We start from the raw sequence: 17254 nt of genomic DNA, 5'->3' as shown, positions 1-17254 counted from the left end.
TTGTAGCCTGGATGACATAGCGAAAACTTGTCTCTTAAAAAAAAAAAAATGTGGCCGGGTGCAGTGGCTCACACCTGTAATCCCAGCACTTTGGGAGGCCCAAGGCGGGCAGATCACAAGGTCAGGAGATTGAGACCGTCCTGGCTAACAAGGTGAAACTCCATCTCTACTAAAAATACAAAAAATTAGCCGGGTGTGGTGGCACACGCCTGTAATCCCAGCTACTTGGGAGGCTGAGGCAGGAGAATCGCTTGAACCCAGAGGCGGAGGTTGCAGTGAGCCGAGATCGCACCACAGCACTCCAGCCTGGTGACAGAGTGAGATTTAGTCTCAAAAAAAAAAAAAAAAAAAAAAAAAAAAAGGTAGAAATTAGCTGAGCGTGGTGACACGTCCCAGATACTTGGGAGGCTGAGGTGGGAGGATCGCTTGAACCCAGGAGTTCCAGACTGCAGTGAGCTGTGATTACACTATTGCACTCCAGCCTAGGCTGTGGGAAAGAGAGTTTCTGGGGTGCCAGCTGAGTTAGTCTTCCCTGTGTGAGACACCCATGGGAAGCCATGCGCGGCCTCTGAGGAGAAAAGTCTCCTTATTGCCTTCATGTCTTTACGCCCGAGAGCAGAACCCCTCAGCGGCATTCCACAGGTTGCTCAGGCATATAACACTCCCTTGAAGCAGTGGAGTATAATCAAACATCTTGGCTCCTCCTGAAACCCACTCCCACCCGTTTCAGTCCCGATAAGTTAAAGATTTGTTTTGTTTTGTTTTTGTTTGAGACGGAGTCTCGCTCTGTCGCCCAGGCTGGAGTGCGGTGGCTCGATCTCGGCTCACTGCAAGCTCCGCCTCCCGGGTTCACGCCATTCTCCCGCCTCAGCCTCCCGAGTAGCTGGGACGACAGGCGCCCGCCACCACGCCCGGCTAATTTTTTGTATTTTTAGTAGAGACGGGGTTTCACCACGTTGGCCAGAGTGGTCTCGAACTCCTGACCTCAAGCGATCCACCCACCTCAGCCTCCCAAAGTGCTGGGATTACAGGCGTGAGCCACCGCGCCCGGCCAGTTAAAGATCTTAAGTAGTTTGACACTCCTCTTTGCTCAAGGAAATTCACAGAAACCGCCACTGCTATACATCTTACAGAATGACTCTCCAGTTCTCCTTCACTGATTAATCCTTTCCCTCATCCCTTCCTCCTCCTCCCATCTGCCCTAAGAACAAAGAGCTTGTAAACCAATAAATTGGGCGGAGCCTGAGAACTCTGGGCCGTGAGCAAGCCTCCGACGCTCCGGTCCCCTGGACCCGCCTTTTAAACGCTTATTCTGTCTCTTTCTAACTCCTTTGTCTCCGCCGGACTCGGGGTAACCGCTAGGCGTTATGGGGCTGTTTTCCCCAACATAGGCAACAGAGCAGGACAGTGTCTCTAAAAAAACAAAACCAAAACTATATTTTGTACTATTCTGATAAAAATGACTTAGTTACAAACAAAGAACAAATCAACAGATAGTCATGCTGTGGAGATCAGGAATATTCCTTCCCAGGGTAAATGAAAGACCAATTCCCTAACGTCATGTGGATATACGCTTGTGGCTTAAGATAAAATTACCCGTGACAGCATCAAATACCAGGGATAAAACTCAGTCTTCAACACGCATATGTATCTCCTGGGGTTGAATCCTCTGGAGGTCTTGTTAAAAATGCAGATTCTGGTCAAGAGTTCGAGACCAGCCTGGCCAATATGGTGAAACCCTGTCTCTACTAAAAACACAAAAATTAGCTGGGTGTGGTGGTGGACGCCTGTAGTCCCAGCTACTCAGGAGACTGAGGCAGGAGAATTGCTTGAACCCGGGAGGTGGCAGTTTAGTGAGCTGAGATCGGGCCACTGCACTCCAGCCTGGGAGACAGAGTGAGACTCTGTCAAAAAAAAAAAAAAAAAAAAATGCATATTCTGATTCAATAGGTCTGGGGCAGAGGTGTTTTTTTTGTTTGTTTGTTTTTTGTTTTTTGGTTTTTTTTTTGGTTTTTTTTTTTTGACAGAGTCTAGCTCTTTCACCTAGGCTGGAGTGCATGACACCATCCCAGCTCACTGCAACCTCCGCTTCTTGGGTTCAAGCGATTCTCCTGCCTCAGCCTCCTGAATAGCTGGGATTACAGGCGTGCACCACCACACCCAGCTAAGTTTTGTATTTGTAGTAGAGATGGGGTTTCACCGTGTTGGCCAGGTAAGTTTTGTATTTGTATTTGGTCTTGAACTCCTGACCTCAGGTGATCCGCCCGCCTCGGCCTCCCAAAGTTCTGGGATTACAGGCGTGAGCCACTGCACCCGGCCTGTTCTGCATTTCTAACAAGTTCCCAGGGGATGCTACTGCTGCTGGTCTTCAACCACACTTTGTGGAGCAAGGCTCTCAAAGACCTTGATGTATGTAGGAGAGAAAGCTGGGGTAGAGAGTGATGAGGGGAGAACGGGTGCGTGGGGAGATGCTCCCCTGTGCATCCTGGTCCCATGTGAGGCTCCAACAATGCTCACCTACATCACAGGGAGAGCACCTAGCAGGAAATGAGTTCTGCTTTAGCATCCAGGCACAGGAGATTAGAGGCACAGGCAGGCAGTAGATTCTACTTCATTATTTGTGCAGCTGGACACAGAGCTTCCTTTCTTTTCCTTGATACTGTTTTATTCCATCTAAGTATGTAGGAGTAAGAGGGCTGTGTTACACTGTTTTCCCCACCTTTAATGCATCTGATCAACCTAGGAGCCCCCTAAGACCCTATATTATCTCACTTTATCATCACAGCAAACCTGGGAGAAGGATATGGTTCCTGTTTTACAGATGAGGAAACTAAGTCTCAGGGAGGTGAAACTACTGCCCAAGGATAGCCAAACAAAATACACGTCAGAAGTGGGATGTGAAACGAAGCCTGTATGTCACCAGAGTCACCTATCCTCTCCCCCTCCAACCACCTAACCACACCAGGGAGTTGGCAGGAGATTCCTAGCCCACCCCTTACATTAAAATCCCTTTTAGGCGGGTGCCACTATCCAGTCCTTCTCAATTGCACCTAGTGAGACCACGAAAGATCTTCTACCTGGCTCCTGGTAGATGAGATCTGGCTATACAGGTACTTGGGTGCAAACCTGCCCCTCTGCCCCTGGAGCTATCACCTCCAGATCCTGCTACTTGTACCTTTGCAGCCCCAGGTAGCCAGTGGCAAGGGCCAGGGGTGGCAGCAGGGCTGGGAGTGGAGAAGAGTGTGAGAAAGTGCTGCGGGGCTCAGGAGACACAGCAGGGAACCAAGGGGTCCTAAGGGTTGCAATAGAGGACAGGGGCAGGGAGTGCAGAGTGGTGGGAAGGGGGATGGGAGCTGGGTGCAGGAGACATAAGAGATGGAGCATCCCGGCCACACACGGTGGCTCACACCTGTTATCCCAGCACTTTGGGAGGCCGAGGTGGGTGGATCACGAGGTCAGGAGATCGAGACCATCCTGGCTAACACGGTGAAACCCCGTCTCTACTAAAAACACAAAAAATTAGCCAGGCGAGGTGGTGTGCACCTGTAGTCCCAGCTTCTTGGGAGGCTGAGGCAGGAGAATGGCGTGAACCCAGGAGGTGGAGCTTGCAGTCAGCTGAGATCCCGCCACTGCATTCCAGCCTGGGTGACAGAGTGAGACTCGTCTCAAAAAAAAAAAGAATAAAAGAAAAAAGAGGTGGAGCATCCTGCAGCCCTGGCCCCTAAAAGATTGGTGGGAGAGTGCCAGCTGCTCCACCCTAGTCACTTTGGGAACTGGTCTTTCAGTTCACGGCCTGCCATGTCCTCTCCTGCAAATCCTGGCACTGTTGAGGAGGTCCTTTCAGCCCTGGTTTGTCCACTCTAACCTTGAATATATTATACACACACTTTATGAGAGCTGACGAGGGACCAGGTGCTGTTCTAGGCTCTGAGGTGCAGCTGTGGACATTTGGGTACAAAGTTCTTCTGGCAGGGTACTTACCTCCTGCTGGGGGTGGGGGAACCTGAACAGCCAACACATAAGTAAAGCAAGATCATCTCGGTGTTGAGTGCCTTGAAGACAATAATTTAAACGGGTGGGAGGATAGAGTGTGTGAAGTGAAAAAGTTTGCTTTAGTCAGGGTAGTCAGGGAAAGCCTTTGGGAGCAGGTGATATTGAAAGGAAATCTGACTGAGAAGGCAAATTCCATGCACAAATTAAAAGGCCAGGAGGCTAGTTGGGCTGTTGCGTGGGAGGAGCAGCTAGAATGCCGGAGTGACTGGGGGGATGGGAGCCAGGGGATAGGGAGGCAGATGGAATGGGAAAGGCGTGGGCAGGAAGAACTTGGTCATGAAGACCTTGCAGGTGAACCCACTGGGGCCTTAAGCCTGGAGGAACTTGACAGAATTTGCCTACTGTGTGGGGAACGGCTTGGAGGGGGTGTGGGCTTCAGGAGGCTGAGATGTCCTGTTTCTTGTGCCCCCTCCTTTCTTCCCAACACCCGAGAAACCTGGATGGGTGTGGGGACCAGAGACCTGGAGGTGGCCAGATTGGGCTTTGGCGGGACGCTTAGCAGCCCTCGGGACCTGTTCAGACTGCGGCCTCCCACCTTCGGGAAGCATCGGCGCTGCCCATCTGCCCCTGCCTGGCGTCCAGGGAGTCCCGGCTGTGCAGCGCTTCCCTTGAAATGTCTCTCTGTCCTCCCATCCAGTGCCTGGGACCCGGCAGCGCCGTCGAGGCAGGGGGCTGCGAGGCGGGACCCAGTTGCACGTGGGCCCTGTGGGGTCACTCCCTTTCGGGGGTCCTCTAGCTCTTCACCCTGCGCGCGTGGGGCAGACCAGATGCCTCGAGGAGCTCCAGGACCAGTGCCTATGGGGTAGTCCCTGCCGGCGGTGGGCCCCAGTCCCAGACTGCGGCGCGCTATTTCTTTCTGGGGTTCGTGTGAGCGTGGGCTGCCAGAATGGTGCCCACAAGCTGCTTTTGGGTGATTCAAATCATTTATACAGATAGTGCCCCTGCAAAAAACATTTGCGCAGGGCCCCGCTTACGCCAGAGGATTGCGGGCCACTTCTGGGCATCGCTCCTCGTGGGGATGGGAGCATCTCCCTGGAGAGCCCTTTGCAAAGGCCAAGCGCCGGCCAAAGGCACACCGCTGGACGCGTTTCCTTCCTTCTGGAGAGATGACCAGGAATGCAGGATCCAAAGGGGGTCTTGGAGGGAGGGCGGGAAGGGCATCTCCGGATCTGGGCAGACCCAGGGCTGCCGGCTCCCCGAGGAGAATACGGGCTGGGGGCGAGGAGCCGGAGGGCAGGTCAGGCAGTGCATCAACCCTTGGCTCCTCCACCGCAGCCCCAGCCCGCAGGCTATCGCTCAGGCTTCTCTCTCCGGGTTATGTAACCCCGGGACGGGACGTGGCAGCCGGGTGAGTGAGCGAAGGAGTAGGGGAGGGAAGGGAAAGGAGAGGAGGGGCAGGGCCGGGCTTGGTGATGGTGGTGGTGGGAAGCGCCGCCGTGCCGCCTCTTCTTGGGCCCCTTGGGTTGTCTTTCTGGAGGATTCCGGGACCAGCCCTCTCCCCAGGCTCCGGGTCGCCCCCTAGCCCCCCGCCGCCTCATTTTCCCTTCACTCTTTTCCCCCTTCTGTCCCACCCGCCCTGCCAGGGGGCCTCTGGCTCTGGATAGCTTTTCCTCTCCGGTTGTAGTTTCCTTCCCAAAGTTCTCAGCTTTGCTACCTCGCCCAAGTCATTAGCCGCTCTGAGCCTCAGTTTATCAGTTTGTAAAATGAAGTTTGATTGAGCGGCCACGTGTAAAACTCCTGGCATAGTGCATGGTACAAAGTAGATGTCTGCTGCAGGCTAAGGGCCTCGAGGGGCTAAGTGAAATGTTGTGTGCCAGGCTGGGTGTCAGAGCCCCGGGAGCCGCAGCCACGAATGGTTGGCTCCCGGGTGGTAAAAGAATTTATCAACAACAGTATAGGTTTGAAAAGTTTTATTAGATGGAAAGAACTCCACAGCAGAGCGCAGCGGGATGCTTCGGCAAGAGAGGCCTGAGCTCACTTGCAGGGAACTGAAGGGTAATTTTGACCACATTAGTTTTGTAGGTCATAGTAAATGATTACATTTGTAGACATTTTGGCACCTTGATGACAGCAAAGGTTGCACAATGGGTTCCAACATGCGTGCATTCCGGAGATGTATAGAAATTCTAGGGAAAGAAGCCTGGTACCAGATGTGGCTTTAGATAATAGGAAAGTACCATTCTGAGTTCTTCAGATAAGGTGCTTTGCCTCCTGATGGTCTGCTTGATGGCCACCAGGTGATCCTTGCTCTCCTCATTTTCCCCCTGATAAATATTTTGGGCAAATCTTTGACCCTTTGTATTTCTCCATGCTCATGTCTACTTGTCTGTTAGGATCCCAAGAAAGGGAAAATGGCACAGTGAAGAGGGGTGTCCAGTCTATCTGGCTACTTCCTGCTGAAAAGGGGCATTGAAAGGATTCCTTTCTTGCTTTCTGTCATGAAGGGAATGAAGGGTCATGATAAACTTGTTCATGGAGGGAAGACCAGATTCCATCAAGAGGCCCCATGAAAATAGAAGTTGCTGTTGCAGGCTGGTATTGGGATTGCATAGTCATCTGTAGGTGGAATCATTGTAAGCTGGAAGATATAAGCATTAAAAGGCAGGAATTACCGGCATGCACCTCCATGCCCACAGATTTTTGTGTTTTTAGTAGAGACAGGTTCTCACCATGTTGGCCAGGCTGGTCTCCAACTCCTGACCTCAGGTGATCCGCCCGCCTCGCCTTGGTCTCCCAAAGTACTAGGATTACAGGTGTGAGCAACCACACCTGGCCCCTGGGGTCTCAATTTGTGTATTTATGCATGGCCTCCACCAGTCTAGCTTGGAAAAGGGCAGGGCTTTCAGATAGTTTCATACATACAAAATTATTATTTCTTTTTATTTTATTTTATTTGAGATGGAATTTCGCTCTTGTTGCCCAGGCTGGAGTGCAGTGGCGCAATCTCAGCTCACCACAACTTCCGCCTCCAAGGTTCAAACGATTCTCCTGCCTCAGCCTCTGGAGTAACTGGGATTACAGGCATGCACCACCATGCCCAGCTCATTTTGTATTTTTAGTAGAGATGGGGTTTCTCCGTGTTGGCTAGGCTGGTCTCAAACCTCAGGTGACCCGCTCGCCTCAGCCTCCCAAAGTGCTGGGATTACAGGTGTGAGCCACCGCGCCCAGCTATTATTTCTTATAATTTAGAAAAATTAACAGGTTTTATTATATATTTTTCATTCCCTCCAACAGAGAAGTTACCATATGATCCTGTCTGCCCTTACCTCTGTTTGGGCCAGAATTGGTGGCCTGGTATTGCCAATAGGTTCTATGTTGGGGACAGCTTCTGCCCAGCTCTGTTATTAGGACTGGGAGCATGAGCTTCATCTGCCCATGCTGAAGATCACACGTGTGATTTTTTGTGTGTGGGAACAGCAGGTAGTTAATACCACAAATACATCTTGCCAGGTTAAATCAAAGGCAACAGTTAAAGTCTGAAATTCTTGAATGAACTTAGAGGGATCCTGACTAAATGAACCCAACTTGGATTGAATTTGCAAAAGATCAGACATGATCAGAAAAGGGACATGAACTTGGCTTGTTCCCAAATCTTCATTAGCCACCTTAGGGAGAGGCAAAATATTTTGGGGATTTTTCTGAGGACTCTGTACTAGTAGCATATGTGACTCCCCTGAGAGTATGTGAAGGGGAGAAAGTATTTGGGTATGTGGGTGGGAGATTGACTAGGGAATGGAGCAGATGGAGAGGGTGTAGGTGAAGAGTGAGCAGGTTGAGGAGGATGTAATAGGCAAAAGGAAGGATCATCTAAGACATCAGAACCGGGAAGGGAGGACGTTCCTTGGAAGCATACATGACAATTTGTATGTAATTTTGGGTTTGGATTTGGGGATAAAGCAAAAAAGACCTGAACATATGGGACTTCTGAATCCTTTCCAAGGTTCCGGCAAAAAATCAGTTAAGTTGTAAAGTAGCATTGCAATCCCAAGTTTCATTAATTGGCCAAATTGATTGATTAGGGAGCTTGTATTGAACCCAAGCAATATTAGAAAAAAGGATATGCTTTTTAAACTCTTATTTATTTTTTATTTGTATTTTTTGAGACAGAGTCTTGCTGTGTCGCCCAGGCTGGAGTGCTGTGGCGCCATCTTGGCCCACTGCAACCTCCGCCCCCGGGGTACAAGTGATTCTCCTGCCTCAGCCTCCCTAGTAGCTGGGATTATATGTGCCCGCCACATATAATTAGCCCCCTGGCTGATTTTTTTTTTTTTTTTGTATTTTTAGTAGAGACAGGGTTTCGCCATGTTGGCCAGGCTGATCTCGAACTCCTGACCTCAGGTGATCCACTCGCCTCGGCCTCCCAAAGTGCTAGGATTACAGGTGTGAGTCACTGTGCCCGGCCAAGTTTTGCATTTTTAGTAGACTCCCGGTCTTTAACTCCGGACCTCAGGTGATCTGCCTGCCTTGGCCTCCCAAAGTGCTGGGGTTACAGGCATAAGCCATTGTGCTCAGCCTTATATGCTTATTTTTAAGAGTTTGTGGGTCAAAATGAGACCAATGGGACCATTTTTAAGGAGGCAATCCAAGGGCGAGTTGGATGGAACTGAATTAATTGAACCGAAGTTGGGTTTAGACAAGGAACTACAAGATCCCTGAGGCATCCCTGTGTAGAATTGAGATCCACCGCTTCCAGGACAAGGCTTATGGAGTGTTAAAATGAAAGTGCCCTGCCACTCTGACAGGCAATAGCTCTTTTGTCTTGGCCTTGGGGTAATACCGGGGGATGGCGCTTGGCCAGAAACTGTCAGTTGCCAACGAGAACTCAAGCTGGTTCACTGGCAGTCCGAAAACAGAAAAGAGCCCTGGCCAGTCCCTCACCCCTAAGGGCAAGGACAGCCAGGTATCCCTTCTCTAGGGCTTCAGGATCCCACAGAAGAGCTGCCTCCACCGGGACCGGCAGTTCCCCAAAGAGTAAAGAACCAGACCGTGGAAGGAAGCAGAGAGAAAAAGGAAGAGGGAAATCCCAGTGAAGTCCCCGTATGGGCCACCAAGATGCCAGGCGAGGTGTCAGAGCTCCGGAACCGGGAAGTGGTTGGCTCCCGGGTGGTAAAAGAACTTATCAACAACCGTGTAGGTCTGAAAAGGAAAGTTTTATTAGACGGAAAGGACGAGGCAGCAGAGCGCAGTAGGCGCTTCAGCAAGAGAGGACTGAGCTCCCTGCGGGGAACTGCAGGGTAATTTGGACCACATTAGTCACTTAGGTCATGGTAAATGGTTACATTTGTCGATATTTTGGTGCCTTGATGTCAGCAAAGTTTGCACAATGGGTCTTAACGTGCACTCATTCCGGAAACGTACAGAAATTCTAGTTACTTATAAATTCTTGGGACGGAAGCTTGGTACCAGATGTGGCTTTAGACAATAGGGAAGTGTCATTCTGAATTGCTCAGATAAGGGGCTTTGCCTCCTGTTGGTCGACTTGATGGCCACCAGGTGATCTCTGGTCTCTTCAGTGTGGCTTTGCAGACTATAAAGGCGCAGCGCGCCAACGAGGCGGGTTGGCCCCAGACGGCGGAGAGGAAGGGCAGAGTCGGCGGTCCTGAGACTTGGGGCGGCCCCTTGGAGGTCAGCCCCGCTCGCTCCTCCCGGCCCTCTCCTCCTCTCCGAGGTCCGAGGCGGGCAGCGGGCTGTGGGCGGGCAGGAGGCTGCGGAGGGGCGGGGGGCAGGAAGGGGCGGGGGGCTCGGCGCACTCGGCAGGAAGAGACCGACCCGCCACCCGCCGTAGCCCGCGCGCCCCTGGCACTCAATCCCCGCCATGTGGGGGCTCCTGCTCGCCCTGGCCGCCTTCGCGCCGGCCGTCGGCCCGGCTCTGGGGGCGCCCAGGAACTCGGTGCTGGGCCTCGCGCAGCCCGGGACCACCAAGGTCCCAGGCTCGACCCCGGCCCTGCATAGCAGCCCGGCACAGCCGCCGGCGGAGACAGCTAACGGTGAGTTCCCCGACCGACGGTCCGCTCCCCCGCAAGCCGACTGCCCGGCTCTCCTGCCCCGTGGGGCGATCCCTCCCTAACACGCGGGCACACGCACACCCACGCACACTCACAGTCATGCACACTCACCCCGCACGCACACTCGCACTCACGCGCACACACGCGCGCGCACTCACACACATTCACACACGCGCACACTTGCACTCACACGCGCGCGCATTCACACGCATGCACACACACGCACACTCACACGCGCGTGCGCGCACACACAGTGCACGCGCGCGCACACTCACACTCACAGTGCACACACACATATACACACTCACACTCCCTCAACTCCCTGCTGGGAGCAATGGCTGCTGACTCGGCAGCCCCAGTTCCCTGCCAGACCTAGTCAGCAGTCCCAGGACAGGCGCCAGTGGGATGCTGCCTCTTCCAAGCCCCAAACCTTCCCTTTTCACCAAAGACAAAACAGGCCAGAACTGGCAGGAGGGGAGACAGAGGGGCAGAAGCTCTCAAGGTGCAGAGCAAGACTGCGTAGGAGAGAGTTTGAAGGCGAGGGCTGGAGAGAAAGAACAAAAGGAAAGAAGGGAGAGCCCCTCGCTGAGGCTGCCGGGAGGATGGGGCAGAGCGGGAGAGGAAGGCAGCCCGACCTCCCAGCTTTCCAGATGTGGAATAGGAGAGGAGGAGCGCAAGCGGAGGGCACTCAGGGGCTTCTAGAGGAGGCAAGTGGAGGAGGGTCTTGAAGGGTGATGTCCCCGAGTCAGGGGAGTCTGGAGAGAGAGAGAGAGAGAGGGCTGCCAAGAAGGAAGCGGCGGGCAAAGGCACAGGGGCACCAGATGCGGAAATGGGCAGCCTGTTCTGGAGGCAGCTGTGGAGCTTCGATGGGTACCCCCAGCACCTGCCTGGGCAGAGCCTTGTGCTGAAGGGCCGGCGGGCAGGCCCAGCCCTGAAAGCCTCGACACCCAGGCAGACATGGATTCCAGGACAGGCCATCTGAGCCCAGAGAGCAGACACAACAATGGAAGCGGCACAGGGGTTTTGGGGCATGATGCTGAGTCTGGAGCTAAGAAAGCCTCCTTGGAAAGGCATCTGGGCTGAGATGCAAAGGAAGAATGGGAATTAGGTGAAAAAATCAGAGGCGAGGGGTAGCATTACAGGGGAGGGGATAGCTAGTGCAGAGGCCCGGAGGTAAAGTGCCAGACTCAGCTCTTTGGAGCAACCGAACAGTTTCTAGAGGCTGGGTGCAGCTCTCCATTGGATTAGAGGTTCACAGGGGAGGCTGGCCAAGCATGTAGTTACATCAGGGAGGAGAAGGAGGAGCCAAGGAAGTGACTGGAGAGGCAGGTTGGGGTCAGATTGCAGGCCTTTGATGTCCTGTGAAGGCTGTTAGATCCTGGTGGTGTGGCCTGCTGTGGGCTCACATGTCTTCTTGGGCTGGCAGACCTTTCCATCCGGGGTTTCACCATTCTTCCTTTCCCCCATGCTGTGCCTCTCGGACCCCAAGGGACCTCAGAACAGCATGTCCGGATTCGAGTCATCAAGAAGAAAAAGGTCATTATGAAGAAGCGGAAGAAGCTAACTCTAACTCGCCCCACCCCACTGGTGACTGCCGGGCCCCTTGTGACCCCCACTCCAGCAGGGACCCTCGACCCCGCTGAGAAACAAGAAACAGGTACTTCCTCTCCAGGGGCCCAGCCCAGACTTGCAGCCCCTGGGGCACTTTACCAGCACAGCTCTTGGCCTCATGGGCACCGGCACGCCCCTTGCTTGCCTAGCGCAGGAGCAACCTTAGGCTCAGCTTCCCACCTGCCCTGGCTACCCTCCCTCTGGTCCTGTCTCACTGTTCTATCCCCGCCCCAGGCTGTCCTCCTTTGGGTCTGGAGTCCCTGCGAGTTTCAGATAGCCGGCTTGAGGCATCCAGCAGCCAGTCCTTTGGTCTTGGACCACACCGAGGACGGCTCAACATTCAGGTCAGTAATCCTGGCTCGGAGCCATGGTCTCAGGGTAGGGAAGGCAGCCCCTGGGAGCTTCTCTCCTGCCTCCTCTCTGTCCTGGCCTGCCCCACTCTGTCCAACTGGGCCTGACCACCATGTCCTGTGTCTGCAGTCAGGCCTGGAGGACGGCGATCTATATGATGGAGCCTGGTGTGCTGAGGAGCAGGACGCCGATCCATGGTTTCAGGTGGACGCTGGGCACCCCACCCGCTTCTCGGGTGTTATCACACAGGGCAGGAACTCTGTCTGGAGGTGAGGCAGACTAACCCTAGGTCAGGAGGTCACAGAAGGACTGGGGTGGGAGTCCTGGGGGCACCGATGATCTCTCTCCACCTCTCCTGCCAGGTATGACTGGGTCACATCATACAAGGTCCAGTTCAGCAATGACAGTCGGACCTGGTGGGGAAGTAGGAACCACAGCAGTGGGATGGACGCAGTGAGTGGTCCCACTGTGGCTGGGGCCTCCATGCTGGGAGTTGGGCACCCAGTCCAGGCTAGGCTGAGGCTCCTCTGAGGACAAGGAATAGACGCCAGCTTAGGCTTCCCAGGGGGGTGTGGCTTGTTGTCAAGAGGGTGGCACACGGCAGGCACCATTGGGAGCCAGCTGCTTTGGGACATGCCCACATCCTCCCCAGATAATGCCACCACAGGGTGGGTGCTGCTTCACGGTACAGCTTCCTCCTGGCGTGCCCCTTCTGGCCCGGGGCCTCTGGTCCACATCACTTCTTGCCTTCTCGTGGTTCTGACTTCCGCATCTCATGGACCTCTTTTTACAGCAGGCTACAATGTGGAGTCCTGGCCAGCTCTAGGATTGGCTTCCCCCGAGTCATGTGGCCAAACTGGTCTAATGAACTGTGTCCAATCCAGAGAGCAAGGCTGCCTAGGGCTGCCCATTGGCAGGGGCTGTGGGCCGGGGTCTGTGTTTGATGCACAGTGCAAGTCTCTAGCTGAGCCCACTAGGGTGGGGAGACAGTAAGCTTGGAGGCCTGAGCTCCTTCCCTGGGTCCTGGGCCAGGCTTCTGGGGTTTGAGCAGCCACAACAGAGAACTTGCTGCCCCCAGGTATTTCCTGCCAATTCAGACCCAGAAACTCCAGTGCTGAACCTCCTGCCGGAGCCCCAGGTGGCCCGCTTCATTCGCCTGCTGCCCCAGACCTGGCTCCAGGGAGGCGCGCCTTGCCTCCGGGCAGAGATCCTGGCCTGCCCAGTCTCAGGTGGGCAGTCAGGCCAGGGTTGGTTGGGCAGGGCTTGGATGCAGGGTGCATCCTTCACTGTGGACACACCCTTTACCATAAACTCAACCTCCACCAGACCCCAATGACCTATTCCTTGAGGCCCCTGCGTCGGGATCCTCTGACCCTCTAGACTTTCAGCATCACAATTACAAGGCCATGAGGAAGGTCAGATATAACCCCTATGACCTGGGAAGGAGGGCCCACCCATCTCAGGTCCCCTTCCCACCTTCCCACCGGGGCACAACCTGCTGTGACTGCGCTTGTATGCCCCTGCTGCCTCCTGATGTCTCAGCCTTCTCTCCTGTGGACCCCTAAGCTCCATCCCACTTTCCCTTATTATGGCGCCCCCCCAGTCCTACCCCTTCCTCCCGGCTCTGCTGCCGCTCCCCTCCTGTACCATGATGGGATGCCCCCTCTGTGTGGGCCATCGCTGACTTTTTAAGTCTTTCCATGGCACATGTGATCTGCCCCTGGGTGTACCCCTCCCATGCCTCATGCCACGCTACACTCTGCCCACCAGCTGATGAAGCAGGTACAAGAGCAATGCCCCAACATCACCCGCATCTACAGCATTGGGAAGAGCTACCAGGGCCTGAAGCTGTATGTGATGGAAATGTCGGACAAGCCTGGGGAGCATGAGCTGGGTACTGGCATGGGGAGTGGGGAGAGGTAGGCACAGGGCAGGGCCCCAGGCATGAACCCGCTGCAAGCCCCCATGTGTCCCCAGGGGAGCCTGAGGTGCGCTACGTGGCTGGCATGCATGGGAACGAGGCCCTGGGGCGGGAGTTGCTTCTGCTCCTGATGCAGTTCCTGTGCCATGAGTTCCTGCGAGGGAACCCACGGGTGACCCGGCTGCTCTCTGAGATGCGCATTCACCTGCTGCCCTCCATGAACCCTGATGGCTATGAGATCGCCTACCACCGGGTAGGCCACCCAGCATGAGGGCCACTCTGTCCTTCTGCCCTGGTGGCTGGACCTGCTCGACTTGAACAAGCCTCTTGCCCGGCAGGGTTCAGAGCTGGTGGGCTGGGCCGAGGGCCGCTGGAACAACCAGAGCATCGATCTTAACCATAATTTTGCTGACCTCAACACACCACTGTGGGAAGCACAGGACGATGGGAAGGTGCCCCACATCGTCCCCAACCATCACCTGCCATTGCCCACTTACTACACCCTGCCCAATGCCACCGTGAGTATTTTGAGGGCGGCAGTGGAGGTCTGTGGGGGGCGGACCTTGTCTCTGTCTCCTGCCCCTCCTGACCTGCCCCATCCAGGTGGCTCCTGAAACGCGGGCAGTAATCAAGTGGATGAAGCGGATCCCCTTTGTGCTAAGTGCCAACCTCCACGGGGGTGAGCTCGTGGTGTCCTACCCATTCGACATGACTCGCACCCCGTGGGCTGCCCGCGAGCTCACGCCCACACCAGATGATGCTGTGTTTCGCTGGCTCAGCACTGTCTATGCTGGCAGTAATCTGGCCATGCAGGACACCAGCCGCCGACCCTGCCACAGCCAGGACTTCTCCGTGCACGGCAACATCATCAACGGGGCTGACTGGCACACGGTCCCCGGGAGTATGTGCCTGAGGGTGGAGTTAGCCCTGGCCCCGTAACCCCCGCCCTGATAAGACAGCCTGCGGTTGCGTACAGTGCTGGCGTCTGTTCCCACTCTGAAGTGTCCCTCAGAGAAGGGAGGGTAGCGGGAGGATGGGACCGCATCCCGCCTGCTTAGGCAGCAGTGTCTGTGGTCCCCTTAGGCATGAATGACTTCAGCTACCTACACACCAACTGCTTTGAGGTCACTGTGGAGCTGTCCTGTGACAAGTTCCCTCACGAGAATGAATTGCCCCAGGAGTGGGAGAACAACAAAGACGCCCTCCTCACCTACCTGGAGCAGGTCGGATCTGCGTCCCGGCCCCCAGCCTGCCTGAATCACTCCTGCTGTCCATTTAGGCTACAGCTCCTACCAGGGGTTCTTCTAAGGTCCAGCTGAGCATTCAGACTCACAAGATGCCATGGGCCATGCTTGGTATCAGATTGTCTTGGAAGCACACAGGACAGGAAGTGCAGTTTGCTGGCAGCGTGGCATCGTGTTAGAGCCGGTGGGAGGAGCCTCCATTGCAGTCTAGGTGGTGGTCCGTGGCGCTGCCCCAGAGCTATCCTCAGGAGAGACTCACGTGAGGCAGGTGCAGGAGCTGTCCTGGCATAGAAGCTTCATGTTCCATGGAGCTCATAACCCTTGTAATAGCTCCATAAGCAGAGCTTCCAAAGGGTCTACCAAAGACAAGCCCAATAACCTGGGAAAGCCCAAGGATAGATAAGCCTTCCTACCAGGTATTTATCATTTTCTTAGTCCAGATGTGATTTGTCAATCAGGATTTCTTTTTTTTTTTTCTTCCAGAAGTAGTGTCACCTAGGAACACAGTAGACCTACCACTTTGCTCAGGTTTGCAGGGCAACAGAGCCAGCAAGTTAGCTAAACAGCACATTATCCTGCCGAAGGGGAAGGGCTCTGATAACCTCTTCCCACACAGGTGCGCATGGGCATTGCAGGAGTGGTGAGGGACAAGGACACGGAGCTTGGGATTGCTGACGCTGTCATTGCCGTGGATGGGATTAACCATGACGTGACCACGGGTGTGTTTGACCGGGAGGGCAAGGGAAGGGGCTGGAGGGCTGGAGGCTCGGGAAGAAGCAGAAGATCATTAATTGGGTCCTGATCGTGCCCTTCACTCTCCTCAGCGTGGGGCGGGGATTATTGGCGTCTGCTGACCCCAGGGGACTACATGGTGACTGCCAGTGCCGAGGGCTACCATTCAGTGACACGGAACTGTCGGGTCACCTTTGAAGAGGGCCCCTTCCCCTGCAATTTCGTGCTCACCAAGACTCCCAAACAGAGGCTGCGCGAGCTGCTGGCAGCTGGGGCCAAGGTGCCCCCGGACCTTCGCAGGCGCCTGGAGCGGCTAAGGGGACAGAAGGATTGATACCTGCGGTTTAAGAGCCCTAGGGCAGGCTGGACCTGTCAAGACGGGAAGGGGAAGAGTAGAGAGGGAGGGACAAAGTGAGGAAAAGGTGCTCATTAAAGCTACCGGGCACCTTAGCTCATCTTCGTGTTGTCTCTGTGCCCCAGGTCCTCCCCCCGGGGGCGGGCCTCGGCCCAGCCCTCAGTTCCTATTCTGCACACTTGCACACTCTCATCAGTTGGCTTCTGGACACATTGTGTGAAAAGAGGATCCCACCTGGGCTCTTCTTGAACCAAGGGCCTGGCAGAGCAACTCATTTCTTCTGATCAGCTTCTGCTACAGGTACCATTACACTGCTGCCAGGCATTCTGTAAGCGCCTGCTCATTGCCAGGTGTGCAAGGAATCAGGATCAGCCGTGCCTGCACTCAAACTCCTGGGGCTCCTAGTCAAGGGAAAGGACAGTTCGGTACATTGTGAGACATGCTAGGGTGGAGGCCAGGTGCCGTGAGAGTGCAGGGGAGCTGCACACGTGAAATACAGCACTGCACATCAACAGGACTGGGGCAGTCAAGGATGCAATAGAAGTAGTGGCTCTAGAAGTTCAGGCGGGAGGTGGGCAGGGTGTGGAGTATGGACAGGGATGGCTCCAAGGAGGAGGGTCAGCCAAAGGTGGGTCAGCTGAGAACATTTGAATTTGCTTCAGCCATTCTCAGAGTATTGATAACTGATAGGCTTTGCTGAGTTTCTATCAGACTGAAGGGGAAGTTGTGTATCAGTCTGTGTCTTGCCAGGTAAACAACCCATTCTAGGCACTTAAAGTGGAGGGAAATTTAATGCTGGAAATTGGATAGGAAGGTGTTGGAAGAGCTGGATGAGGCCGGGTGTGGTGGCTCACACCTGTAATCCCAGCACTTTGGGAGGCTGAGGTGGGAGGATTGCTTGAGCCCAGGAGTTTGAGACCAGCCTGGATAACATAGCCAAACCCCGCCTCTACAAAAATAAGAAATAAGAAACATAGCCAGC

At 54.6% G+C, this 17254-nt stretch overlaps 1 protein-coding gene across 2 annotated transcripts, besides 3 other annotated features; it reads left to right on the top strand.

The window, feature by feature from the left end:
• Window positions 9271–10256: an enhancer, noted in NCBI's record as "NANOG-H3K27ac-H3K4me1 hESC enhancer chr20:2780831-2781816 (GRCh37/hg19 assembly coordinates)". NCBI's record gives its function as "activates a minimal SCP1, AML or CMV promoter by ChIP-STARR-seq in naive and primed H9 embryonic stem cells {active_cell/tissue: H9 hESC(naive and primed)}" and the evidence as "EXISTENCE:reporter gene assay evidence [ECO:0000049][PMID:30033119]".
• On the top strand, window positions 9814–16367 carry CPXM1 (carboxypeptidase X, M14 family member 1). 2 transcript variants are annotated; one of them, NM_001184699.2, is made up of 14 exons: window positions 9814–10040; window positions 11548–11715; window positions 11904–12013; window positions 12150–12289; window positions 12383–12473; window positions 13099–13249; window positions 13347–13435; window positions 13791–13914; window positions 13998–14194; window positions 14280–14459; window positions 14545–14620; window positions 15025–15164; window positions 15802–15904; window positions 16010–16367. In NM_001184699.2, exons 1-14 carry the CDS (start codon window positions 9869–9871, stop codon window positions 16249–16251), a joined length of 1983 nt encoding a protein of 660 aa, NP_001171628.1. In that variant the 5' UTR covers window positions 9814–9868; the 3' UTR covers window positions 16252–16367. The 2 variants fall into 2 exon arrangements, with proteins under 2 accessions (NP_001171628.1, NP_062555.1); NM_019609.5 differs by having other exon boundaries at window positions 14545–14842.
• Window positions 10257–11244: an enhancer, noted in NCBI's record as "NANOG-H3K27ac-H3K4me1 hESC enhancer chr20:2779843-2780830 (GRCh37/hg19 assembly coordinates)". NCBI's record gives its function as "activates a minimal SCP1, AML or CMV promoter by ChIP-STARR-seq in naive and primed H9 embryonic stem cells {active_cell/tissue: H9 hESC(naive and primed)}" and the evidence as "EXISTENCE:reporter gene assay evidence [ECO:0000049][PMID:30033119]".
• Window positions 11245–12232: an enhancer, noted in NCBI's record as "NANOG-H3K27ac-H3K4me1 hESC enhancer chr20:2778855-2779842 (GRCh37/hg19 assembly coordinates)". NCBI's record gives its function as "activates a minimal SCP1, AML or CMV promoter by ChIP-STARR-seq in naive H9 embryonic stem cells {active_cell/tissue: H9 hESC(naive)}" and the evidence as "EXISTENCE:reporter gene assay evidence [ECO:0000049][PMID:30033119]".
• Window positions 16368–17254: the final 887 nt, after the last annotated feature.

This window comes from Homo sapiens, chromosome 20, assembly GCF_000001405.40.
Source record: "Homo sapiens chromosome 20, GRCh38.p14 Primary Assembly".
Taxonomy (NCBI): Eukaryota; Metazoa; Chordata; class Mammalia; order Primates; family Hominidae; genus Homo; species Homo sapiens.
Note: the sequence above shows the minus strand (reverse complement) of the source record. Positions and strands in the feature narration are given on the sequence as shown.